At 57.4% G+C, this 24,541-nt stretch overlaps 1 protein-coding gene across 4 annotated transcripts in view, besides 3 other annotated features; it reads left to right on the forward strand.

Moving 5' to 3' along the window:
• Positions 1 to 24,541, forward strand: part of CACNA1I (calcium voltage-gated channel subunit alpha1 I) — a 118,983-nt gene that overhangs the window by 81,653 nt on the left and 12,789 nt on the right. For 2 of the 4 annotated variants that reach the window (NM_021096.4, NM_001003406.2), the window contains 19 exons: positions 5,747 to 5,898; positions 6,526 to 6,711; positions 7,028 to 7,145; positions 7,292 to 7,447; positions 7,939 to 8,032; positions 8,703 to 8,905; positions 9,560 to 10,030; positions 10,371 to 10,471; positions 11,313 to 11,436; positions 11,686 to 11,754; positions 12,334 to 12,518; positions 13,093 to 13,219; positions 13,476 to 13,601; positions 15,887 to 15,976; positions 17,633 to 17,825; positions 18,398 to 18,549; positions 19,794 to 19,903; positions 20,544 to 20,677; positions 21,558 to 21,628. In NM_021096.4, the coding sequence (NP_066919.2) occupies positions 5,747 to 5,898; positions 6,526 to 6,711; positions 7,028 to 7,145; positions 7,292 to 7,447; positions 7,939 to 8,032; positions 8,703 to 8,905; positions 9,560 to 10,030; positions 10,371 to 10,471; positions 11,313 to 11,436; positions 11,686 to 11,754; positions 12,334 to 12,518; positions 13,093 to 13,219; positions 13,476 to 13,601; positions 15,887 to 15,976; positions 17,633 to 17,825; positions 18,398 to 18,549; positions 19,794 to 19,903; positions 20,544 to 20,677; positions 21,558 to 21,628 (2,862 nt within the window). Of the gene's footprint in view, positions 1 to 483; positions 5,899 to 6,525; positions 6,712 to 7,027; positions 7,146 to 7,291; positions 7,448 to 7,938; positions 8,033 to 8,702; positions 8,906 to 9,559; positions 10,031 to 10,370; positions 10,472 to 11,312; positions 11,437 to 11,685; positions 11,755 to 12,333; positions 12,519 to 13,092; positions 13,220 to 13,475; positions 13,602 to 15,886; positions 15,977 to 17,632; positions 17,826 to 18,397; positions 18,550 to 19,793; positions 19,904 to 20,543; positions 20,678 to 21,557; positions 21,629 to 24,541 lie in introns of those variants that run through there. The other 2 variants (XM_017029035.3, XM_017029036.2) reach the window with 1 other exon arrangement.
• Positions 3,485 to 3,986: an enhancer, noted in NCBI's record as "H3K4me1 hESC enhancer chr22:40051895-40052396 (GRCh37/hg19 assembly coordinates)". NCBI's record gives its function as "activates a minimal SCP1, AML or CMV promoter by ChIP-STARR-seq in naive H9 embryonic stem cells {active_cell/tissue: H9 hESC(naive)}" and the evidence as "EXISTENCE:reporter gene assay evidence [ECO:0000049][PMID:30033119]".
• Positions 10,053 to 10,172: a silencer, noted in NCBI's record as "silent region_13763". NCBI's record gives its function as "represses an Ori minimal core promoter by ATAC-STARR-seq in GM12878 lymphoblastoid cells {active_cell/tissue: GM12878}" and the evidence as "EXISTENCE:reporter gene assay evidence [ECO:0000049][PMID:35858748]".
• Positions 11,383 to 11,912: an enhancer, noted in NCBI's record as "H3K27ac-H3K4me1 hESC enhancer chr22:40059793-40060322 (GRCh37/hg19 assembly coordinates)". NCBI's record gives its function as "activates a minimal SCP1, AML or CMV promoter by ChIP-STARR-seq in naive H9 embryonic stem cells {active_cell/tissue: H9 hESC(naive)}" and the evidence as "EXISTENCE:reporter gene assay evidence [ECO:0000049][PMID:30033119]".

The raw sequence follows: 24,541 nt of genomic DNA on the forward strand, positions 1-24,541 counted from the left end.
TGATTTCCTCATCTACTAAGCAGATGTCTTTCCCTCACAGGGACAGGCCACCATTTACTGAGCACCTACTGCAGGCCAGGCCCTGTGCCAGCATGGTGCCAGTGAGTCCAGCCACCCTCAAGGCAGGTATTATTACCTCGCCCCTCTTGTACCCTTGGAAGGCCACTGCTCAGAGAGCAAATAGATCACATAACGTTTGGGTTTCAATCCTGGTTCTGGCCTGGCTTGGTGGCTCATGCCTGTAATCCCAGCACTTTGGGAGGCTGTGGCGAGAGGATCACTTGAGCCCAGCAGTTCAAGACCAGCCTGGGCAACAGAGTGGGACCCCGTCTCTGCAAAAAATAAACAAATTAACCAAGTGTGGTGGTGCATGTCTGTAGTCCCAGCTTCTCAGGAGGCTGAGGTGGGAGGTTTGCTTGAACCCAGGAATTTGAGGCTGCAGTGATTGGTGATTGTGCCACTGTATTCCAGCCTGGACAACAGAGCAAGATCATGTGTCAAAACAAACAAAAAATTCCAAATCAGCCAAACAAACCAATCCTGGTTCTGCTATTGACTGGCAGGGTGGCCGGGAGTGCATCACTTGGCTTCCTCACCTGGCACCCCCCATCTGTAAATGGGTACACGGATCCCCCCACACGGTGGCTAAGAGGGCTGACTGCATTGTGGGTGCACGGAGCCCCCCACACGGTGGCTAAGAGGGCTGACTGCATTGTGGGTGCACGGAGCCCCCCACACAGTGGCTAAGAGGGCTGACTGCATTGAGAACCTGGCGCTTAGTAGGTGCTCACTGATGAGTCACTGCTTCAGAGTCTTGTCTGAGCTCACACCACCACCCCTGGGTGCATTTACCATCCTCTGTCTGGAGCCTCAAAAAATTAAAGTAAGAGGGGGAGGATGAGTCTCTGAAATGTCCCTTATAAAGCAGCTCCAGGGGCAGCCATGGTCTCCTGGGCTCTGCGCAGGGCCTGACTATGGGCCCGCTGGTATTTTTGCTCCGCTCGCTCGGCTCCCAGACACTGCTCTGCGGGAAATGATCCGCCCCCATGTTTATTTTGAGCAGCCCTGTCTGAGGTGGCGCTCGCAGAGAGAGGTGGCCCAGGGCTTCCAAGGGGGGTGCAGGGAGAGAAGGAGAGGAGGAGAGGGTGGGTGAACTCCCTCAGCCCTTCTCCTGCAGGGGAGGCAGCATGGGGGGCCTTGCCCCATACCCCATCCTGGCTGGCAGGGAGCTCTGTGACACTGAGGGGCAGGAGGCGAGGGTGTGACATCTGTGAAGTGGGGCAGAGTGACCTCAGGCCTGGTCACAGGGTGCTTGAATGACAGGTTAGATTGCAGTTGCTCAAGCCTTTAGGGTGACCACTGCTGCTGAAATCTTGGGGGCATTACCCAGAGAACAGCTTGCTCATCCAGGTTCCTCATGGCAGCAGATGCTGTTTCTTGCAGGGCCTGGCCTAGAAGGAGGGGATGGGTGAGGTAGGGTGTAGGCCAGGCAGGGGCCTGTGTGTGACTCACGAAGTGGTGAAATGGGGCTGAAATTCCCACCCCCTGGGTAGCCCAGGCTGTGTGACGGGCAGGTGGGACAGGTCAGCTGGGGTGGCCAGGCTTCTCCAGGGAGGCCTGATTCCTTCATCATCACCGCCATCACTGCATCACAGCTCTTCCTGGTGTGATCCTCTGGCAGTCTTGTGGGGCAGGCTGGGGGAGCATCTAATCACCACCAGGCAGATGGGGAAACTGAGGCTCAGTGAAGTAGATGGCTTGCCCAAGGTGCCAGGGTGAGCAGCGACAGAGCCGGGCTCCCGGAGATTGAGGTCAGCTGTGGACAGTTGAACTGGAGGAAGGCATTGCTCCTAGGAGCAGTGTCTGTTCAGCTTCTCTCTCCTGCACACACCCATGCAGGCCCTGACTCCCCCTGAGCTGGGCAGGGCTGCCCTGCAGCTTTATCATGTCCTGGAGCTGGAGGCTAACCACCAAGTTGGAGAACAAAAAACAGAGGGTTGGGGCGCATGGGCAGCAGGGCAGGGTGCGGGGAGCCTCCTGGGTAGGGCTGACCCCAGGCCAGGGCATAGTTACTGGCCCCAGCTCCCAGAGGACTGCATTCAAGGCCTCTGAATCAGTGGCTGGATCAAAGCTGGCTTTATTCTTCCTTCAGCAGCCCCTTACGTGTCAAGTCACTGCCAATCCAGGTCTGGGGTGACTCTGGGAAGTGAAGAATGGGGTGGCTTAGTGGCTGACATTCCAGCTCTATAGGGGCCCAAGGGAGAGAAACACCAACATGGACAGCAGTCATGGAAGGCTTCCTGGAGGTGATGGCACTGGGGACGGATCCCGAAGGATGACTAGGAGTTCATCAGCGAGACAGAGGGACAGGGACCAGGAGCATAGGTATCCCCCAAAAGGACCCTGAGTCCTCAAGAAGGATGTGTACAAGGGGCAGGGCAGACAGTGCAGGAGGCCAGGAGGGCTGTTCATTCAGGAGGACCTTGGAGCTGGTTTTATCCTTAGGGCAATGGGGAGCCCGGAAAGGCTTGCAAGCAAATGACACATTTGTGCTGAACTGGGGCCTCATCAGAAAAGGGGGGCAGGTGAAGGCACCTGGGCCATGGAGGTGGGGATGTGGCCAGAGGGAGAAGACCTAGGGTTGAGATCTGACTTCAACACAGCCTGGCCATGACCCTGGGCAGTCAGTTCCCTTTGAGTCTCAGGCTCCCTGTCTGTAAAATGGTGATAATACAGGGCTTGAGATTGAGAGGAGATAATGCATGGGGCGTGCTCAGCACACCCGGCCCATGGGAGGGGCCTAATCAACGCTAGCTGCCATTATTATGATGGGGATGGTGCTGGGCTGGAGGGCTTCCCGGGGGGCAGCTGACCTCTGCACACCCTTATCTACCCCTACAGAAATGGCAGAGGCTGGGCAGCCTGGTGTCACCCAAACCCGCATCAGGCAGGGACTTGCAGGCTCCCACTGCTGCCCCCTACCTCCTGCCTCTGGCTGAACTTGGTGTTTTCAGCCCTTCAGCATGTCTGCCTTCACTGGGTGGTCTTTGCCACCTCCAGCGAGCTTTCTGCCATCTGTCTGTCTGTCCTGCTGTCTGTCTGCCTGCTCTTTTTGTGTCTCTTTCTGGCCGTACCTATGGTTCCCATGGTGTCACTGCTTCGTTGTCCTGGTCCTTCTTCACATCCGTGTCCCTGCTTTCCTGTCTCCATGTCTCCATCTCTCCATGCCCCACCTTTGCCCCTCACTCCCTTGTCTCTATCTGTCTGTCTGTCTGTCTCTGCCCATCTCCGCCCCTCCCTCTCCATGTCCCCTCCTCCTTGGGCTCCCACTTGCTGTGTCTATATTCGTCTGTGTGTCTCTGTCCCGGAGAAATGCTTTCATGAGTGATGGATGGTCCATTAGAAAAAGATTAACAGGTGTGCTGAATGGAGGAACATCTGTTGTGAGGGAGGAGGAGGCGCGGGGTGACCTTTTGGATGGCAGTGGCTCCCTGCATCCCTGGTAGGAGTGTGTGCGTGGCGCGCGCGGCTGGAGCCAGCTGATCATCATCACGGAGTGTCAGCGCCTACAGCTTTCATCTCCGCGGACATCGCTTACTGGGCTGGCAAATTGCTGGCTCTGAGCAGCATCTGGACCCTGGCTCAGTCCTCCCCACCGAGGGTCCCTCTCAGGGTCCTACTCCTCTTTTGGGACGACTTCTTGAGTCAGATGTAATTACAGATGGAAATGGGCCTTCTCCTTTCATCTGGGCTTGAGAGGAGCTGGCAGTTTTATTAGCTTTCCCAGGCATCAGGCTGGAAGCTGGCGCTTGGGTTGTTATTTTTTTTTTCCATCCTCCTTTTAACCCACATGGAGTCGGAGTCAGGTCCTTGCGGCTCCCCGTTGCTGATGGAGGGGCTCCTGCTCTCGGTCCTCTGCTCTCCCACCTCCCAGCCAGCTGGGTCCTCCACCTGCACACCCTTCTCTGCTCCCTGGCGCCAGCTCTCTCTTAGCTTTTAGGTCTCTGCTGAGATGTCGCTGCCTCCTGACCCCACTAGCACCGCTCCCCTAGCCACCCCCCACTTTCCTGGCGTCAGCACACACTGGCTTGGTTTGTTAACTTGGTTTACTGGGCTTTGGCCCCAGAGCACGAGCTTCTCAAAGGCAGGGACGGTGCCCTGACTCCCTCACCACTGCCCACCCTGGTAGCTCGAGCCCAGCACATCATGTCATTCAAATTTGTGGTAGCCATGCAGGAATGAATGAATGAATGAATGAATGAATGAATTTGGCTGCAGTCCCCATGTGGTGTAACGGGAGAGCAGTTTGGAGTCCAGCTTGGTTCAGTGCCCTGCCTTTGCCCTGCCACATCCTTGCTAGGTGGCTCTGAACAAGTCATTCCCCCTCCCAGTTTCCCTAGCCTCAGTCTCCTCATCTGTAAAACGGAGAGGCTAACTTGTGTTGGGCGTCAAATCAGGTCTCAACGACAGTGCTTCCTTTCTCTGTGATTCAGGCAGGGATGACCTGGCACCACAGTGAGCACACACCAGACACTTCATCAGTCCCAGGGGAGCCGTGGCAGGGAGAGAAGGGGCTGGGCCTCGTAGGAGCCTTAGAGGAGAGGCTTGGATGAATTGGTTCCTCACTCGACCCCGTGGTTTTATGGATAAGGAAACTAAACTCCAGAGGAGGGGGGAAGCAACTTTCCCAGGACCACACAGCCACTTAATGTCCAAACCAAACCCGGACCCCTCCAACTTCCCCCACTGCCCCCAGTCGTGGCCTCTAGTGTGGCCTGCTTTGAACACTGGGGTTCTTTGAACAATGCCATTTGCAGGATATCAGTTAAAAACCAGGGGTAAACAGCTCTGGGAGCAGAGGGAGGCTCCACAGCTGTTGGGGGAGGGAGCTAGTCTCCCTCTGACCAACTAGTGGCTTTGGGCAGGTCCTCTAACCTCCCTGGGTCTGAATGTCCTCCTCCGAGAGCTGCTGGGAGTGCTAAGAGCCACCACGGGTGCTCTGTGTGCAGGACTGTGCCTGGCATGCAGCAGGTACATTGTGTCCACCGTCCTTTCATGGGGCACGATGTCCCCAGCCACCCTTGGTCCTGAGACGGCCATTGCTGGGAAGGGGAGAGAAAAGTTCTGCATGGGCGGGGGTTAAGGGCAGGAGTCTTGGAGCCAGGCTGCCTGGGTTCAAATCCTGGCCACACCACTTGTTAGCTCTGTGGCCTCAGGCAAGGGACTGGCGTCCTGTGAACCCGTGTCCTTGCCTGTCTGCAGACGGGTTCTTGTGAGGGGCTAAGTGAAGTGATGGCTGTAAAATGCATAGAACGGTTCCCGGCACGTGGTAAGTGCTCACTAAATGGGTTAGTGACGTCTAGCGACGCCTGTCCTGCTTTCCTGTCTTGCTCTGCATCTTAGCCGTGTGACCTCAGGCTGGCCTCCAAGCCTCTTTTTCCTCATCCGTAAAATGCGTATCAGAACACTTCCCTGGTAGTGTGCTACAAGCCTCATTTCCAAATTTGTGGAAGGTCAGCGCTGTGGGGTCCCCCAACCCTCACCATCTCAGCAGACCTCTCACGACCCCAAGGTAGCAGAGTTGAGAGGGGCCCTCGGGGCCTTGTGCATGGGGCAGTGGGGAGACGGAGGTATGGTGAGGACACCGACCTGCCAGGGTCACACAGCCAGGGTGGGTGTCCAGAGGGGATCCACAGCTGCCCTCTGGCCTGACCGGGTCTCCATTCCCCACCCCAATGCCCCACAGCCGGAGGAGCTGACCAACATCCTGGAGATCTGCAATGTGGTCTTCACCAGCATGTTTGCCCTGGAGATGATCCTGAAGCTGGCTGCATTTGGGCTCTTCGACTACCTGCGTAACCCCTACAACATCTTCGACAGCATCATTGTCATCATCAGGTACCCCTCCCCCAACCCACCCGGCAGCAGAGTGCCTCGGGGGGACATTTACTGCAAAGACCCCAGCCAGCATATAAAGGACATAAGATGGCTGTGGAAACCCGTTGCACTGAAACAATTATCGAAATAGTCAAACATTTGTGATTTAGCAACATATTTCTGTCAAGTTAAACAGCATGATCTAGCAGCGCGTCTGTGACTGCTATCATTCCGAGGAAGGGATGGGCATAAATCATATTGGGAAACAACTGCATCGGCTGTCACGTGACGTGAAGACACCAGTTACTTTGATTGCCACAAAGCCATAGGTACTGCTAATTCTCTGTGGCTTCCTGTTTACATTCATAACCAAAAGACACGTTAAATCTCAAAAAGAGGACAGTGATATCCATGGACCTCCGGATTCTAGCCAGAGACTTCTTGTGGGGGTGGTGGTGGTCCATGGACTCCAAGTGAAGAGCCCCTGATTAGCTTGTGGCGTGGAGCAGCATCCAACATATTTGTCAGATGGATGGATGAATGGAAGCTCTGTCTCTCTGTTTTCCCTTCTCCCTCTGTCTTCCTCTCCCCCTGGCCTCCTACTGCTGCCTCCTACCTGTACCCTGGGCCTGCCCTGCGGGACCGCAGCATCTGGGAGATTGTGGGGCAGGCGGACGGTGGGCTGTCGGTGCTGCGGACCTTCCGGCTGCTGCGCGTGCTGAAACTGGTGCGCTTCATGCCTGCCCTGCGGCGCCAGCTCGTGGTGCTCATGAAGACCATGGACAACGTGGCCACCTTCTGCATGCTGCTCATGCTCTTCATCTTCATCTTCAGGTGAGCCTGCCCTGCTGGGGGCCATACCTCAGCACCTGCTGGGGCTGTGGGCGGGAGCCTGGGGGATGTGGTCCACTGTGCTTCTCTGGACAAAGCCACCTGGACCTGGGTGTGAAGCCTGACACTGTTCCTCAGTCCCCTGTGGCTTTCAGCAAGCATGAACCCCTAAGCCTCAGTGTTCATCTCTGTAAAATGGGACCAACGCTGCCCCGCCTCCCCCTGCCCTGCATTTTACTGAGTTGACTGAGAATGAAACAAGGTGAGTAGGCAGTTTGGTGCATGTGAGTCCGATGAGCCTCTTCCATCCTTTCCCCAGCATCCTTGGGATGCATATTTTTGGCTGCAAGTTCAGCCTCCGCACGGACACTGGAGACACGGTGCCCGACAGGAAGAACTTCGACTCCCTGCTGTGGGCCATCGTCACTGTGTTCCAGGTGAGTGGCCGCTGCGTGTTCATGTTTGCTGGGGAAGCGATGGGACAGTAGGCCTGGGAGGGGCGGGGCTGACAACTCCCATGCCTCCTTGTAGAGCCTAGCCCTGGACTAGGGGTACCCCAGGGCTAACTGTGTCTCCCCAACAGATCCTCACCCAGGAGGACTGGAACGTCGTTCTCTACAATGGCATGGCCTCCACTTCTCCCTGGGCCTCCCTCTACTTTGTCGCCCTCATGACCTTCGGCAACTATGTGCTCTTCAACCTGCTGGTGGCCATCCTGGTGGAGGGCTTCCAGGCGGAGGTGACTGTGGTCTTGGCAGAGGAAGCACCCCCACAGGGTCTGCGAAAGACTGGGCGAGGGAGAGGTGGCCTGGATGGGGGAGGGCTGCAATTCAAACTTCTAGCAGGCAACCTATCCCTAAAGGAGGGGGTTGCTGATGAGGTGGTGAGCTCTTCATCATAGGAAGCATGCAAATGGAGACTGCGTCTGCCATCCCTGCTCCCCCCCAGGGATGTAGGACTAGGCTTCTCCATCTCTGAGATTCGAAATCCCCCAAGATTAGGGACTCTGGGCCCTGCTCCCTCCGTTCTCTGAGGCTCTGGGGATACTTGCAGTCAGGCAGATGTAGGGTTGTGACCTAGGTTCTTGTTAGCATCTCATTTCCCTTTTCCAAACCTCAGTTTTCCCATTTGCAAAATGGCGGTGGAAACACCCATAGAAAAATTCTAGAGGGAGCTGGGAAGGGAGGAGCTGGACTGACCTGCATTCTAACGTGACGGATGCTCTCCCAGGGTGACGCCAATCGCTCCTACTCGGACGAGGACCAGAGCTCATCCAACATAGAAGAGTTTGATAAGCTCCAGGAAGGCCTGGACAGCAGCGGAGGTAAACAGGCCCTCGCTTGTCACCTAGAGAGCCCAGAGCCTTCTCCACAGATCCAGGTGGGCAGAGGGTACAGCGTCTGACTCCACCTCAAGCCCAGGCTCAGGGACTGCTACTTATCTATGGTTTGTTGTTTACGTTCATAATTGGAAAAAATGTGAAATCTCAAAAAGAGGTCAGTGACATCCATGGACCCCTGGGATTCTAGGCACAGGGGTAGCCGCAGCCCACCACATCCCTCCACATACCAGGGCCCCTTGGTTAGAGCCTTGGGGCCTTAGGTCAAGGTGTAGGTTCTGGTCCTGCCTGGCACTACTGGGCATCTTGGAACAAGCATCCTCCAACCCTAGCCCAGTGTCTTTCTCGGTAACTGGGGCGGACAGTCCCTGCCTTGTTTCCCATAGTGGGCATGGGAGTGAGGTGTCAGGCTGGTTCTGAGCACAGAAGGCAAGGGGTCCACACATACCTAAATAAAGCTAAGAGCCCTGCAGGTGGGGCGAAGGGGAGGCACTGTGATGGGGTGCAACCAGGAAGACTTCCTGGTAGAGGAAGCCTCCTTAGAAAAGCTCTCCATTTCTGCTCCTTCCTTGTTTGTCTGTCTCGTGGCTCCCTTGCTGTTGTTCTGTCCTGTCTGCCATCTGTCCCTCCCTCTGTCTCCATCTCACTCCTCCAGATCCCAAGCTCTGCCCAATCCCCATGACCCCCAATGGGCACCTGGACCCCAGTCTCCCACTGGGTGGGCACCTAGGTCCTGCTGGGGCTGCGGGACCTGCCCCCCGACTCTCACTGCAGCCGGACCCCATGCTGGTGGCCCTGGGCTCCCGAAAGAGCAGTGTCATGTCTCTAGGGAGGATGAGCTATGACCAGCGCTCCCTGGTGAGTCCTTGTGGGGAGCTCTGGACGGGCGCTTCCTGCTGGGGTGTGTGTGGAGGGGCCCTGAAGAGAGGTACCTGCCAGTCTAGCCTCAGACTCTGGTGCCCAGCCAAAGTCAGGCAGGGGCCATGTCTGTTGCATTCCTGGGTGCCCAGTGCCAGAGTGGGACCTGGCAATAAGGAACGAATGAAGGCCTAGTGCCAGTGGGGTCTGGTGCAGAGAATTGGATTTTCATCTCAGCAACAATGTGTAGGGTAAAAAGAGCTGGGCTTTGGAGTCAGGCAGACTGCAGCTTGAATCCACCTTCTGCCACTTCCAAGCTGTGTGACCAGGAGCAAATTACTGCCCTTCTCTGAGCCTCAGTTTCCTTACCTGCAAAATGGGAAGATGGCCCTAACTTGCTGTACCTTCCTCAAGGGAAGTGAGGTGGCAGGAGGGGATGTAACCTCCGGGTGGATGTGCCCCCATGTCCCTGTGGATGTGGATGGAGTGAGGTGGGACAGGGAGAGGAGCTCTAGGGTCAAGCCCATTCCATCACCCGCTGGCCAGGTGGGTGGTCTTAGAGCCACAGCGGGGGTGCAGGCTGCCTTTGGGCACCTGGTGCCCCAGCCGTGGGTGTGCCTGTGGGGCGCTGACCCGAACGGGAACTCCTTCCAGTCCAGCTCCCGGAGCTCCTACTACGGGCCATGGGGCCGCAGCGCGGCCTGGGCCAGCCGTCGCTCCAGCTGGAACAGCCTCAAGCACAAGCCGCCGTCGGCGGAGCATGAGTCCCTGCTCTCTGCGGAGCGCGGCGGCGGCGCCCGGGTCTGCGAGGTTGCCGCGGACGAGGGGCCGCCGCGGGCCGCACCCCTGCACACCCCACACGCCCACCACATTCATCACGGGCCCCATCTGGCGCACCGCCACCGCCACCACCGCCGGACGCTGTCCCTCGACAACAGGGACTCGGTGGACCTGGCCGAGCTGGTGCCCGCGGTGGGCGCCCACCCCCGGGCCGCCTGGAGGGCGGCAGGCCCGGCCCCCGGGCATGAGGACTGCAATGGCAGGATGCCCAGCATCGCCAAAGACGTCTTCACCAAGATGGGCGACCGCGGGGATCGCGGGGAGGATGAGGAGGAAATCGACTACGTGAGTGGGGGCGGGGCCGAAGGGGACCTGGTGCGGTGGGATAGGACAGAAGTGGGTGCGGCCCCAGGAGGCGGGGCCCGAGCGGGCGGGCCCACGGGGGGCGTGGCCGGGGCGTGGCCGGAGCGGCTAGGGCTTCAGGTGTGAGGCAGGAGGGGTGGGGCCAGAACTGCCCACACCTGAGCTGGGCCGGCTCCTGGGAGAGAAGCCCTCCCTGGCTGCCCCCGGGGGGCAGAGAGTTCGGAGGTGACCCTGCGACCCCAGTTGGCGCGATGGCCGCATGGGCGGAGACCGGCAACCCTGCGCATCGCTGACCCCCGGCGCTCCGTCCTCCTCTTGCTAGACCCTGTGCTTCCGCGTCCGCAAGATGATCGACGTCTATAAGCCCGACTGGTGCGAGGTCCGCGAAGACTGGTCTGTCTACCTCTTCTCTCCCGAGAACAGGTGGGCAGGGCCAGGCCTGGGGTGAGGGTTAGAGTAGGGGTAACGTGGGAGGGACGGATCTCTGCCAAGCCAGGCAAGGCCATTGGTGGCGCTCTCCCAGACCACAGCGGACCCTCCCGGCCCAGAGGTGGGGGTCTCCAGGGGAGAGTGCAGCCTCCTGAGGGCTGCTGGGTGAAGATGGATTTGGGGAGTGGGATTGGCTGGAGGAGGTCAGGGAAGAGTCTCAGCCTTGGCTTCCAAGATCCCTGGGGATCAGGGTTCCCTCTGGGGCTAGGCGAGGACTTTAGGCAAGACGGATGTTGGTGGCCAGGCTCTCCTGGGCTCTCCTCTAGTCTAGGCCATCCCTGTGCTGGGCACCAGGTTGAACCATTCTCAAGTAGCCTGTATGGCTTGCATCTGAGGGGACATCAGAAGGCTTCCTGGAGGAGGAGGCCTTTGTGCTGGGCTCTGGAGGCAGGTGGCATTCCAGTAGGCACATCAGGGGCTGTGAAGAGGAGGAGCCTGGTGCAGGGGCAGGGAGCAGCCTGAGGGAAGGCCTGGGGCAGAAGCAGAGGGTACTAGGCAGCGTGGTATCCTCCTGACAGGCTCAGGGATCTGGGCTGGGTAAGCCTCGAGTGCCAGGGAAAGGTGGGTGACCTCGTGGTGTGGGTGTATGGTCAGAGGAGGCAGCGCCAGGTGGGCACCCTGAGCAGGTGTAGAGTCGGCACCTGGCCAGAGGAGAGGATAGGGGTTGCTTCCTCGAGGCCAGCGTGGTCTGCACTGCTGCCTGGGCCCTCTGCCTTCCTTCTGGCCAGGGTGGGAGGCAGCTGACGCTCAGGCAGCCCCCGCCCACCCTGCCCAGGTTCCGGGTCCTGTGTCAGACCATTATTGCCCACAAACTCTTCGACTACGTCGTCCTGGCCTTCATCTTTCTCAACTGCATCACCATCGCCCTGGAGCGGCCTCAGATCGAGGCCGGCAGCACCGTGAGTGGCTGTAGCCTTTGGGCAGGGCAGGCGCCAGGCCAAGGGACAGCTCGCCAGGGCTGAGCAGGGCAGGGAGACCTCACCGAGGTGGGGAGGCAGGACAGGAAGTTTGCCTTTGGGGCGGGGAAAGCCTCCGTGAACTGAGAGGTGGCAGCCTCTCCTCTACGAACCTTGGCCAAAGCAGCGGCTGGCCAGTGGCCGGGCAGCTCTGGGAGCCCCTGAGCCTATGGTATCTCCCGATGCTTTCAGGAACGCATCTTTCTCACCGTGTCCAACTACATCTTCACGGCCATCTTCGTGGGCGAGATGACATTGAAGGTAGCTCCCGGTTTCACCCGGGACCCCTGCTAGCCCCAGCTCGGGCCCCTGGCCCTGGGTCAGCCCCTGCCTCAGCTTGTCACTCGCCTGCCATCGGCTTCATTTCACTCGTAGCCCCATGGCCCACCCCTCTGGGTGCCAGCCCCGGGGCTGGGCTCCCGCGACCCAGAGGGGGTCAGCCCCGTCCCCATTCACAGGAGTCACAAACCCACCAGACAGATGGGTGCAGGGAACACTGAGTGTGATGGAGGCACCTGCTAGAGGTGTGGGGCGCAGGGGAAGCATCCCGTCTGGGGCGCTTCCCAGGGCGGGCAGTTTTCAATTGGATTTGCCAGAGGCACCGGGAACCTAACAGGGCGGCCTGCTGGGCCCTGACCCTGCCCTGTCCCCTCCCATCAACCGCCCTCAGAGGGCGGCCTGAACCCTCCCCTTCCCTTCGGCCCCGCCACTTGCAGGACCCCGCCCCCTCCCCGAAGCCGATCAGGCCTCGCCCCGCCCCCTTGCATAGAGCCCGGTTGGCCCCGCCCACCTGCCCGCCCCTCCCGCGGCAGCCTGACCCCGGCCCCACCCCCGCCCCAGGTAGTCTCGCTGGGCCTGTACTTCGGCGAGCAGGCGTACCTACGCAGCAGCTGGAACGTGCTGGATGGCTTTCTTGTCTTCGTGTCCATCATCGACATCGTGGTGTCCCTGGCCTCAGCCGGGGGAGCCAAGATCTTGGGGGTCCTCCGAGTCTTGCGGCTCCTGCGCACCCTACGCCCCCTGCGGTGAGGACCCCTCCTGGGCGGATGGGGGAAAGTGTCATGCACTGTACCGAGAAGCCACGGGTCGAATTGGGCCCTCACTCCGCCCTCCCCGCCCGCCCACTCGGTCCTCCAATAGTGAGTGCCAAACACCCTGAGCTGTTCCCGGGGGAGGGGTCTGCAGACCCTGGGGGTGGGGTATGCTGGAAGAGCAGGGCTGAAGCTGGACCCCAGTATTGCTGCCCACTCTGCGTGTCCCTGAGTGGCTCGTTGCCATCTCTGGGTATCAGTCCCTAGACCAGGGTGTGGTGTGGACCCCGAGGAGCTGGGCACAGTGAGGGGTGAGGGCACGTACCCTGCTGCTGCTGTAGATCTGAGGCCTGGGTGCAGCTTGCCTCCTGCTCTGCCCGTGTCTGGGCTGCCTGGCCACTTTCTCTGCATTCCTGGAGACTGTCCTCATGCCCCAGGGTGTTCAGCCCTGGTGAGCCCTGGGGACTCATGCCCTGGGATACTCAGCCCTGGTGACTCTGGGCTGAGTAGGGGCTGCCTCCTGGCCTGGCCAAGGGATTATGTGTGCCTGGCCTCTCCCTGCCGTCAGTGTCATCAGCCGGGCGCCGGGCCTGAAGCTGGTGGTGGAGACACTCATCTCCTCCCTCAAGCCCATCGGCAACATCGTGCTCATCTGCTGTGCCTTCTTCATCATCTTTGGCATCCTGGGAGTGCAGGTGAGGGGTGCCCAGTCTGGGCAGGGACTGGGCTCTGTGACTGGGGAAAAGGAAGTCTCAGACAGCCAGGGGAGAGACTCCACATTCCAACCTCATGCGCCTTGCCAGCTGTGGGCTTCTCCTCCAGGGAGGGAGACAGACATGGGCCCAGATGACTGAGCACAAGACAGTCTGAGTAAACGCGATCGAGAGGCGAGTTCCTCTCTGACTTGCAACCCTCACCTGTGAGAGCACCAACCTCACCCCCTTTCCCCAGCTCTTCAAGGGCAAGTTCTACCACTGTCTGGGCGTGGACACCCGCAACATCACCAACCGCTCGGACTGCATGGCCGCCAACTACCGCTGGGTCCATCACAAATACAACTTCGACAACCTGGGCCAGGTGAGCACCACCGTCCTAGCCCTGATCAGACCCTCCCCTCTCTTGGATGCCAGTGGCTCTGGGAATCACAGACCTGGCTTGTCTTGCACTGCCAGGACTGACACTGACTTCTCCTCTCCAAGCCTCAGTTTCCTCTTCTGCAAAATGGGTAAGGGTAGCACTCACCTCTCAGGTGGGATGAGGCTTAGAGAGTCTGTGTGCAGAGTGCCCAGCAAATGCCTGCACTTAGTAGGTGCTTTGTGAACATTGGTTCTTGGCTCCCACCCCCGACCCAGGGACCCCTGACAGGAGTTTTAGAATCAAGCAGTCCTGGAGGTGAATCCAGCTCTGCCACCTTCTGTAGGTGTGGCCTCCCTGAGCCTCAGTTTCCTCATCTATGAAATGGGAATGTTATAGCCTGCCAGGCAGGCTGCGGTCGAGATGAAAGGATATCAAGCCCTTGGCCCGGGGTGGTACTCTCTCCCCTCACCCACCGCTGCTCTCTGCTCTGTCGGCAGGCAGACCCCTGCCTGGTGTCTGCTTTCCCCTTGGTCTCCTCTCCTGAGGGCCTGCCAGGTGTGACCCATCTGGGCAGTGCCCCAGGTGAGGGCCCTTGGCTGGCTGCCTCCCCTTCCCTGCTCTCATTTCTCGAGGGCCTGCCCAGGAGGCCAGGTATGTCCAGACGTAGGCGTGCCTTGCCCCAGGGCACACAGGGAGGAGCAGGCTCCAGGCCCTCGTCCCCCACTGGCTGATGGGCAGCCTCCAGCTAGATCCCACTGGAGGGCTTGCCCCACAATGGCACCTGGGAGGGGAGCCACAGGGCCTTGGAGGGGTAGTGAGTGCCCAGGGAAAGGGTGTCAGGAACCAGGACAGTCACTACCCCTGCCCTCCTGGGGAAAAGATGTCTTAGGAAGTTGAGGGGGAACCAGCCAGCGGCCTTTTGTGCCCGTGCTCCTGACCCCCTTCACCTATGGGCCCCGCCCCAGTGCCAGCTCCGCCCCTTTGGAGCATTTCTGGGTCTGCCTGGCTCTCCTGGAACCCTGCGTGGGGTGTTCTCTGTACTCGGAGCCACCTGGAGGGTTCCAACCTGGCCTGCAGCCTCTGACTCCTCAGTGGCCCTTACCAGCCGTGTGCCCTCAGACACGTGCCAGACCCTCTGTTCCAGTGTCCTCATTTGTCAACAGGGACAGTGATGGCAGGTCCTTGGAATGTAGGAGCCTCCTGTGCCCTTGGCAGGGGGTCTTCCTCTGCTTTCCCTGCTCCTGGGTCTGAACACTTTCTGGATACCTTTGGCACCATTCCCACCTGGGAAGGGAAGAGGAAGGGGTCTGTGCTCTGGATGGTGGGAAGGAGGGGCCAGTGCAGGGCCAGAGACTCATTCCAGAACCCCATGCCCTGGCCCACAGTGGCAGGAGCGCAGAGGGGGGTGAGACCACCTCTGCCCTGGGGAGAGGGCTTCCTGAGTAGGACATGTAACCTCCGGGCAGTTTCAGATGAAATGGGACCCTTTGTGAACCTACTAACTACTGGTGCAAAGATGGCACAGGAGGCTGTGCTCAAGTTCAGTTCAGAAAACCTTTACTGAGCACCTGCTGTGTGCAAGGTTCTGTGCTGGGTGCTGCAGAACCAGATGTGAACTCACTTAAGGGACATGAGGATGCTGATCTGCCATCTCTGTGGGAGCCTTGGGTGGCTGTGTTCTGGGAACCACCTCCTTTTCAAAACCAGGGAGAGGAGTTATTACCATTTTACAGATGAGGAAATGGGCCCATAGACATCAAGGAACTTGCCCCAAATCACATAGCCAGTGAGTGGCACAGCCTGGGCTCTGACCCAGGGCTCCTGACTCCTCTCACGAGCTCCTGTTTTCAGATGCTGGGGCAAGCGTGTCTTACCCACTGGAGTAAGGATGGCAGGGACCGTCTGGTTGAGCCTCAGCTGGCCCTCCCAGCACACCTGCCAGAAAAGTATTTGTTAGCTCCATTCTGTGGGTGAGGGGACAGGAGTTCATGAATTTTTTTTTGCCCAAGATCACACAGCTGGATAATTTCAGAGCTGAGACCAAAACCCAGGACCGTGGGTCCAGCACTTTTTCTTCTATAACAGTAACTACAAGAGTATGTGGCAGGCACATAGTAGGTCCTTAGGAAAGTTTGTTGGACGAGGGCACAGCTCTGCCACACAGAGAAGACCTCTTTGTCCCTCTGCCTCCCAAGGGCAGAAGAATAGAGAGCTGAGGAGGGGTGGCTGCAGCTGGAGTCACTCACAGTCCTCACCCCTGCATTCCGCCTCCCCATGTCTCCCAGGCTCTGATGTCCCTCTTTGTCCTGGCATCCAAGGATGGTTGGGTGAACATCATGTACAATGGACTGGATGCTGTTGCTGTGGACCAGCAGGTGGGTGTAGCTGGGACCAGGCCAAGCCTTGATGCAGGGAGGAACATGGTGTCCTTGGGGCCCAGTGGTTTGAATTTGAAACTGGTGCCAATGAGTTCCACAGCCCCAGTGTCTCCCCACTGTCAGCACAGCCCACTCCTCACATCCTGGCCTGAATCTTCACCATTACAGTCCCTCCTCGGGTAGCGTAAGTCGTCGTTCCATTTGCTTTGGCAAACCCCCCCACTTTGTGTGAAGAGGCATCTGAGCTGCACCCTGCCTGGAAGGGTGCAGAGCCTGGTGGGTAGAGAACCAAGTGCAGGCAGAGAAGAGGGGCTGAGCCAGCTGGTAGAGGAACAGAGTGTGAGAGAGTGATGTGTTTAGGGAATTGGGAGTTGGGAGCCAGGAGTAGAAAGTGAGAGAGGCATGAGGTGGGGAGAGGAGGCAGGTAGTGTTAGGTGGTCTGCAAGCCCCCGGGTGTGCCATGACAAGGGGCAAAAGTTTATTCTGAGGGCAGAGAGAGCCGGTGAGGGACTTACAGCAAGAGTGGTGTCCCTGCTTGTCAGGTCTGCTTGTCAGTGCAGCTTCCTGAGGGCTGCTGGGTGAAGATGGATTTGGGGAGGGGGATTGGGTGGAGGAAGTCAGGGAGGAGACTCAGCCTTGGCTTCTGAGACCCCTGAGTAGCAGGGGTCCCTCTGGGGCTAGGCGGGGACTTTAGGCAAGACGTGTGGCTGACCAAGGTTGGCTGTGTCCAGACTGAGGGGGTCACTGGGAGAAGAAACAGAAAGATTCTCTAGCTCAAGACAGGGCCCACTCAGTGGTGGAAGCAGGGCTGTGTGCAACTCCCAGGCTGGTAATGGACCTCTGGCTCTTGGCTTCATGGGTCCCACCCAGTAAGGCTCTGGAGCTGGACGTGGGGGTGGCAGTATTGTGTGGGAGGAATGCGAACACTTGGACGCATCTTTCTCTATTTCCTTGTCTGCTCTGTCTCCTCACCCCCACCAGTGCATGCATGCACATGCGTACATGGATTCCACCAAGGAATCTGTGCATCCAAGTTCTCCCCTCTGCTGGCCGCCTTGTTTTCTGCCTTATTTCTGGATGGGCGAATAAGTGGCTGGTGGGTGGATGGATGGGTGGATGCATGGATGGGTGAATGGATGGATGGGTGGATGGATGAATGGATGGGTGGGTGGATGGATGGGTGGGTAGATAAATGAATGGGTGGCTGGCTGGCTGGCTGGTGGGTAGATGGATGGGTGGATGCATAGATGGGTGAATGGATAGATGGGTGGATGAGTGGATGGATGGGTGGGTGGATGGATGGATGGATGGGTGGTGGATGGATGGGTGGGTGAGTGGGAGGATAGGTGGATGGATGGATGGATGCATGCATAGGTGAATGAATGGATAGGTCAATGAGAGGAAGAAGACAGATGTTTCCAGGAGGCAGCCACTGAGCAGGGAAGGAGAGGTGGCTTTCTTGGCTGAGGACGATATTGTGCCATGCCCAGGGTATTTACTTCTTACCTGCTGCCTCATTTAGACCTCACAGCCACCTTCCTGGAGGCAGGCTCAACACATGCCCACTCCATGGAGGCTCAGCCAGGATGGGCACCTCCCCATGGCCCTGTAGGGCCCAATCAGCCTCCTCAGCCCTTTCTGACTCCCCTGCAGCCTGTGACCAACCACAACCCCTGGATGCTGCTGTACTTCATCTCCTTCCTGCTCATCGTCAGCTTCTTTGTGCTCAACATGTTTGTGGGTGTCGTGGTGGAGAACTTCCACAAGTGCCGGCAGCACCAGGAGGCTGAAGAGGCACGGCGGCGTGAGGAGAAGCGGCTGCGGCGCCTGGAGAAGAAGCGCCGGAGTGAGTGGGTGCCTGTGGAGGGCGTGGGCCACCCAGCTCTAAGCCCTTCTGCCTGGGCCTGACCCCAGCCTCCTGAGCCTTTGGAGCTGGAAGGGAACAAAAGATACAGCCCCTGTGCCCAGGGCTCAGCCACTTCTCCCAGCATCTTCCTGTCCAGGGGATCTGAGCCCCATCAGTGTCCATCCAGAGTCCAATGGCTGACACCACTGCCAACCTGAGTGAGGCTGTTGGGGGTTCAGCCCAGGCATAGGGCAAAGGCAGACCCTGGGTGCCCTGGGCCATGGGAAACCTGCCCTCCCAGCAGGCAGGCCCAGAGCTCCTGCCACAAGCTCATTTGGGGTAGATGGAGAGAATGAATGTCCTGCCTTCTTTGTCACCCTTCTCCACAGTTTCTCTCATGGTGCTTTGGCTGGGTGGAGGAGATCTAACACTGATCCCAGGGCCTGGGGTGGATCAACATCTTCCTCTTTGCCCCCTCCCTTTCCTCCACCTTTCTGTCCTTTGTGCTCTGTGCCCTTTCCCTTGACCCCAACCCTCTGTGGTCTTTGCCACTCCCCCTGCACCACCTGCAGAGGCCCAGCGGCTGCCCTACTATGCCACCTATTGTCACACCCGGCTGCTCATCCACTCCATGTGCACCAGCCACTACCTGGACATCTTCATCACCTTCATCATCTGCCTCAACGTGGTCACCATGTCCCTGGAGCACTACAATCAGCCCACGGTGAGCCCTGGTCTGCCTCCCAGCCCAAGGTTACAAGGTGAGGGTGGGGTCTCAGCAGGACCCCACCCCAGGGATAGGGTGGGGAAGGGGTTAGCTGATAGCAGGATGTGAGCAGCCCCTCCATGCTGGGCTCTATGCTGGGCACTGCAGTGGGAGGAGGTGCCGGACAAGCTTGCCCTCAGGAAGCTCAGAGTCTGGAAGGGAACGGTCAGAGGGAAGGTGGGTCAGGGAGGCAGGATTTGGACCGTGGCTTGCACATGGGTGGCAATGACTGTGATGTGTTAAATATTGACTCTTTGCAAGGCACGCTACATATATGAACTCTTTAATCCTCGCAGCAATCCTAAGGCTGGCAGGGGGAATCCTTTGTCTGGATTTTATAGGTGAAGAGCCTGAGGCTTAGAGAGGTTAAATATGCTGCCCAAATTACTCAGCCATAGGTAGTGGAACCAGGTCTGGAACTTAGATTTGCATTCAAAGCCTACCATGTAGCCTCCTTTACTACCTGGGTATATGGAGACGAGGCAAAAGGGTGGAAGGACCATTTCAGGCAAACACTGGGGGTGGGTGAGGATGACCATTTCCCAGCTTGTTGCAGACCAGGTATGTGAGGGGCATGTGAGGAGCAAGTGCATTCTAAAAACCCTGATGGAGTTGGAGGGGAAGAAGAGGGAAGCAGAGCCGCCAGGTGTGAAATTAATACCTTATTTCAAATGATGGGAGAGGAATATTATGAATGCAGAAAAAAGAAAGATAACCATTGGCAGAATGAAACAATAATTATACAACTTCCAAATTAACAGGAAAAATGGAATATTAATAGCTTACATTTACCAAGTATTATTCTGTTTCCAGCACCGAACTATCAGCTCATTTAATTTGCATACCAGCTTTCTAAGATGAAATGACTTACTCAAGATCATAAGGTGAATATGGAGTGAGCACTAAGCCAGGATTCAAATGTAGGCAGTCTGGCTCAGTAGCTCTTCATTAATACCCTATATTGCCTCCAAAGGTACCAACTCGACCAGATACACATAAATAAGAAAAAGGGAACAGAAGGAATAGCAGCATAAAATAAATAGTACACACTAAGATGGAAAGAATAAAAGCAGCATATAAATAATTACACTAAAAGTAAATGGACTAAATTCTCTCCTTAAAAGGCAGAGACTTTCTGAGTGGAGGAAGGTTGTGGAGCAGGTCATGTGCCCTGGATCATGCTTCTCTTTGTTCCTCCATAGTCCCTGGAGACAGCCCTCAAGTACTGCAACTATATGTTCACCACTGTCTTTGTGCTGGAGGCTGTGCTGAAGCTGGTGGCATTTGGTCTGAGGCGCTTCTTCAAGGACCGGTGAGTGGCCAGGCTGGATTAGGGCAGTAATAGGGTAGACTGCAGGATGAAGAAGCAGTCCTGACCCTTAGGGAAGTCTGGAGCAGCCTGAAGAGGGGAACCAGTAAGCATCTAGGCACGGATGGACAGGCACCCCAGCTGCTGCTTATAGCTCTGAACAGGAAATAATTATGGTATCATCTGATGGGCGTAGGGCATTCTACCTGGCCCTTCTTGGCTCATCTTTGGTACGTTGTCTCTACCCTATGGGCAGAGCAGGGTCTGCCTCATGCTAATACTCCTTTTTGAAGGGAATAGTGAGGCTCAAAGAAGTTGATGGACTAGCCTAAGGCCAGACAGAGAGAGCAGCCAGCTCAAGATTAGACTTGGAAGTCATAGTCCATGCCTCCTCTCCTGCAGGAGGCCAGAGATATTTATTTAGCCTGATCAGCCCCTTGCTTGACGGAGTGATGGCTATGGGGAGCAGAGAGGGGCCTGGACCCAGTGGCGTTAGGAGGGGCTAGTAAGGGAGGGCAGCCACACAGCCTAATGGGCCACAATAGAAGGGTCAGGACCTGGGAGGCTCCCCCCACTAAGGTGTGTCTGAACCAGAGGGATCCTCCTCATGCCCACTCCTGCCCTCCCATGCACGGCTGAGCAGATGGAACCAGCTGGACCTGGCCATTGTGCTACTGTCAGTCATGGGCATCACCCTGGAGGAGATCGAGATCAATGCGGCCCTGCCCATCAATCCCACCATCATCCGCATCATGAGGGTTCTGCGCATTGCCCGAGGTGAGGGGCAAGGGGTGGGACAGGGAACGGGGACAAGCAGGGGCGGGATGAGACTCCTCATTGCCTGATGAGAACACACAGGAGTGGGGTGGGGAGGGGTGGGGGCAGGAGTTTGCAGGCATGGTGGGCTCCTTGCTGAACAGGGGTGAGAAGGAGCTGGGAGGCACACAGCCAACACACACGCATGCACCCTCTGTGTGCACACACCTCCCCCAACACACAGGCAACTTTGCATAGCACACATGGACACACACTCCCACTTCCTTATGACGCCATGACCCATGGGGTCCAGTCTCAGAGTGTGATGCAAGGAACCCAGTCCAACTGGGAAGATGTGAAACACCTCCAGTTCCTCGCTGGCATTTCTCAAACACAGTGACTGGGACGCACGGTCTTCAGAGATCCTTCTCCCTCCCCTCAAGGTAGTTCGTACACTTCTTTTAAAAGCCTCCTGCCTCAGGGCGAGCCCAGGTGCCTCTTGCTCTTCTGCCTGCCAGAAACTCAGCGAGTGATGCCAGAGTCCTCTTTATCGAGAGGGGAAGAGAAGAGATGTGGCCACTCACGCTGGTCCTTTGTGCCCGTGACAGTTCATGGCCCACCCATTCACACACTTCATAGACCTCAGTTTCCATGAGTATGCCCCGTCCTCGGGGGCTTTTCTACAGTGACACCCACGCCTTGTGTCCACATGTTTTTGTGCATGCCCCACTCACCCTGTGGCTGCACCCACATTCTTGTAATGTGGTATCTGAGAGCCAGACTCTGCTTGCACGTGCCTTCATGTTCTCTTCTCCCAAGTTTACACACGTGCACACATGCGTGCACACACACGTCCCCACCGGCCTGGGGCTGAGTGGGCAGGGCTGGGTCTCGCCCGCAGTGCTGAAGCTGTTGAAGATGGCCACAGGAATGCGGGCCCTGCTGGACACGGTGGTGCAAGCTTTGCCCCAGGTAAGAGCCACTCTTTCTGGCAGCCCTCCTAGGGGTCATTGGTGTCAGGCTGGGCCCTGGGGCATGAAGGCCCTGATTTCCCTTCTCCTCACATCTGCCAGAGCCAGGGCAGATGCTGTCTCTGGGGATGCATTTTGAGCCAGGGGCTGAGAGGCAGGAAGGGTCCCTTTATGCCTCTTTCTTCCAGTTTCACCATGTGGTTGCCAGTGCCACTCTGTGTCCAGCCCTGTGCACGCACTGAGGGTCCACATTGTGCCCTTGGTTGCCCCCAGGCTGGTGGAGGGAGATGGATACTTCAGGGAGATGTGGGGAGGGACCTCCAGCATGCTCCAGAGAGAGAGAAGAGTGCCAGACACTCCCTGGGGAGATCAGGGAAGGCAGCCTAGGAAAGGGGACCTTTGAGCTTGACTTCCAAGGGTGGCTTGGCAGAAGGAGGTGGCAGTGTGGATGGAGAAGTTCCGAGATGGCATTCCAGGAGGGGCAGCATGAGACCCTGACCCAGGTGGGGATCTGAGAAGTTAGGGAAGTTGCTCTACCCGCACCCTGCGGTTAGTGAAAGGGGAGATGTGATCAGGGCCACAGAGGGCATCTTTTTCATCCTCCCGAGAATTCTGCAATCCCAGTCCTTCCCTCCCCCGCTGTCTTGACTGCTTGAGGCTCCCCTTCCCCCTCCCCTCAGGGTGGCCTCTGCTCTCAGCTGAGCCTCAGGCACATTTATTCATTATGACTCAACGAGTCATCAGGAAGTTTAGGTGCCTTAAAATACAAGGCACAGATACTGCACATTAAAAATGAGGATACAAGATTAATGGCCCAGGGAAGGTGGAAGCAGAGCTAATTCTTTCGGGGACCGGGGCTAAGGACATGGGTGAGTTCTGTTCCTGAATTTGGTGTGAGCTTCCCAGCAGCCTTGGTATAAAGGGAAAGTGGCATGGTCTGGATGGAAAGCAAGGGCATTCATTCAGAGACGTGGTTTTTCCTAACACTAAACCCCTTCAGGGGACTTTGTCCCATGGGAGATGGGGGTGATGCTGGGCTGCAGGCTGTGCCGACAGGAAGTAGATTGGAGCCCCGGCTTGGGCCATAATGCTTGAGAGCAAAGCCTGGGCCCTGGGCATGCGACTTAGCTTTTCGTGCCTCAGTTTCCTTGCCTGTGAAATGAGGATGGTGGTGAAGCATCGCTCCCTCAAGCGCTTATTTCAAAGGGCGGCGGTGAGGTGTCAGATGGTTAAAGCTTATGAAGCACTTAAGAGGTCTGGTTCATGAGAAGTGCCATTTAAGAGGCTGCTAGGGGTGGGGATGGTGAGTGTGTGGCTCGGCCTCCCTGGCCTCCTTGCTCCCTCTCCCCTTCCCCATGCTCTGACCCCTGGGCGGTTCTATCATGACTCCCAAATCCAGTGTGGAGCTGGCATGGGGCACGGCACATGGAGATGTTCAGGACATCCCAGCCTCCAGCAGGAGACCCAAGGTAGTCATTACAAGTGCATTAGCACTTGAGAAGAAGCACGTGCCAAGTGCCACTGGCCGTGAAATGGTGCTTACCCCTCAAAATCCATTTGCTGTTGCTCATGTTGTTGTATGGACATTGGCCATTTCCTCGATTCTACGTAAAGTGCTAGGAAAATGAAACTTCAGCCTCTTCCCACCAGTCTCTGCCCCAAGAAGAGGGAGGAGGCATCAGAGAAGGCTTCTCAGGGGAGGTGACCCATGGACTGGGCTTTGAGGGGTGGGGAGGAGGCATTTTACAGGCAAAGATAGAGGGTCCTCCCTGCAGAGGGAAAATAATATGCCAAGGCACTGTGGGGCTGTTTTCTGTGTGGCTGGAGTGTGTGGGATTGGAAGATCAGGCTGGGAGGGGGGTCCCTGGGGGCCAGGTCACAGCACACCTTCAGTGCTAGGGCAGCAGAATTGGGCTTTATCTTGCAGGCAGCAGGTGCCACAGGAGGGTTCTAGACAAGGAAGGCTGCAGCCGAGCTGCCTTTGAGAAGGTGGCTCTGCTGGCTGGGAGGAGAATGGATTGGAGGGAGAGGCTGGAGGCAGGGAAGCTGGTGAGGAGGCTGCTGCAACCCTGCCGGCTCTGAGATGCTGACAGCAGGGAGGGGACAGATAGAAAAGCTGACGGCAATCCTGGTTAAGAGATGCTGCCCCCGCCGGCCTGTGCAGGGCACAAAGCTGAATTCCTAGAGCCGCGACCACGCCAGATCCTTCTCAGCGGTCAGGGCCTTACAGTTGGCCTCACGGGTGCTCAGTAAGTGCTTGTTTTATTAATGAAGGGAACATCATTTAATTAGTCAGACACTAGCAGTGTAGAACGGCTGGCCAGGAAACCCTGCTCTGGAGTGGAGCGGAGAAACTCGAGGAGTGGTGATTAATGGGGTTTACTTTTCAGCAGTTAACGTGAACGTTTTCTGAGGGTTCTAAGGCCTTCTGAGGGTTCTAAGAGATATTTCATTTCTAGGGCAAGAATGTGTTTTAGCCTTATCTTATCCATAGCATGAGTTAAAGGTGGTCTCCAATGCATGGATAGATTTGAACTAGGTTTGGAATCTGGGACGCTTTCTCCCACAGGAGCTGTGGGATGGGGGTGGCTGGGTTTGCAGAGGCTTCTGGGGCCCACGGGCCTGCGTGATTCCTGCCTTCCCTCCTCTCTATGGCCAGGCCTCATGCTGGCCCAAGGAGGCAAATCTGACCTCATGCAGCTGTGTTCCTGCTCTTGAAGATTTCCCAGACCAGCAGATGACAGTGACAGGGATAAGTGCATTTCGGTGGTTTCGTAGAGGAGCTAGTGTTAGAGCTGAGACCTCCTGCCTTCTCCCTTCCCTTCGTTCATCCATCCATTCAACCTTGGTAGCCACTCAAGGCGTGTAGCATAGATTGTGTGCATGGACCCTGGGGCCAGCCTGCTGGGTTTGG

The sequence above is a fragment of the Homo sapiens genome, chromosome 22, assembly GCF_000001405.40.
Source record: "Homo sapiens chromosome 22, GRCh38.p14 Primary Assembly".
In the NCBI taxonomy this organism is placed as follows: Eukaryota; Metazoa; Chordata; class Mammalia; order Primates; family Hominidae; genus Homo; species Homo sapiens.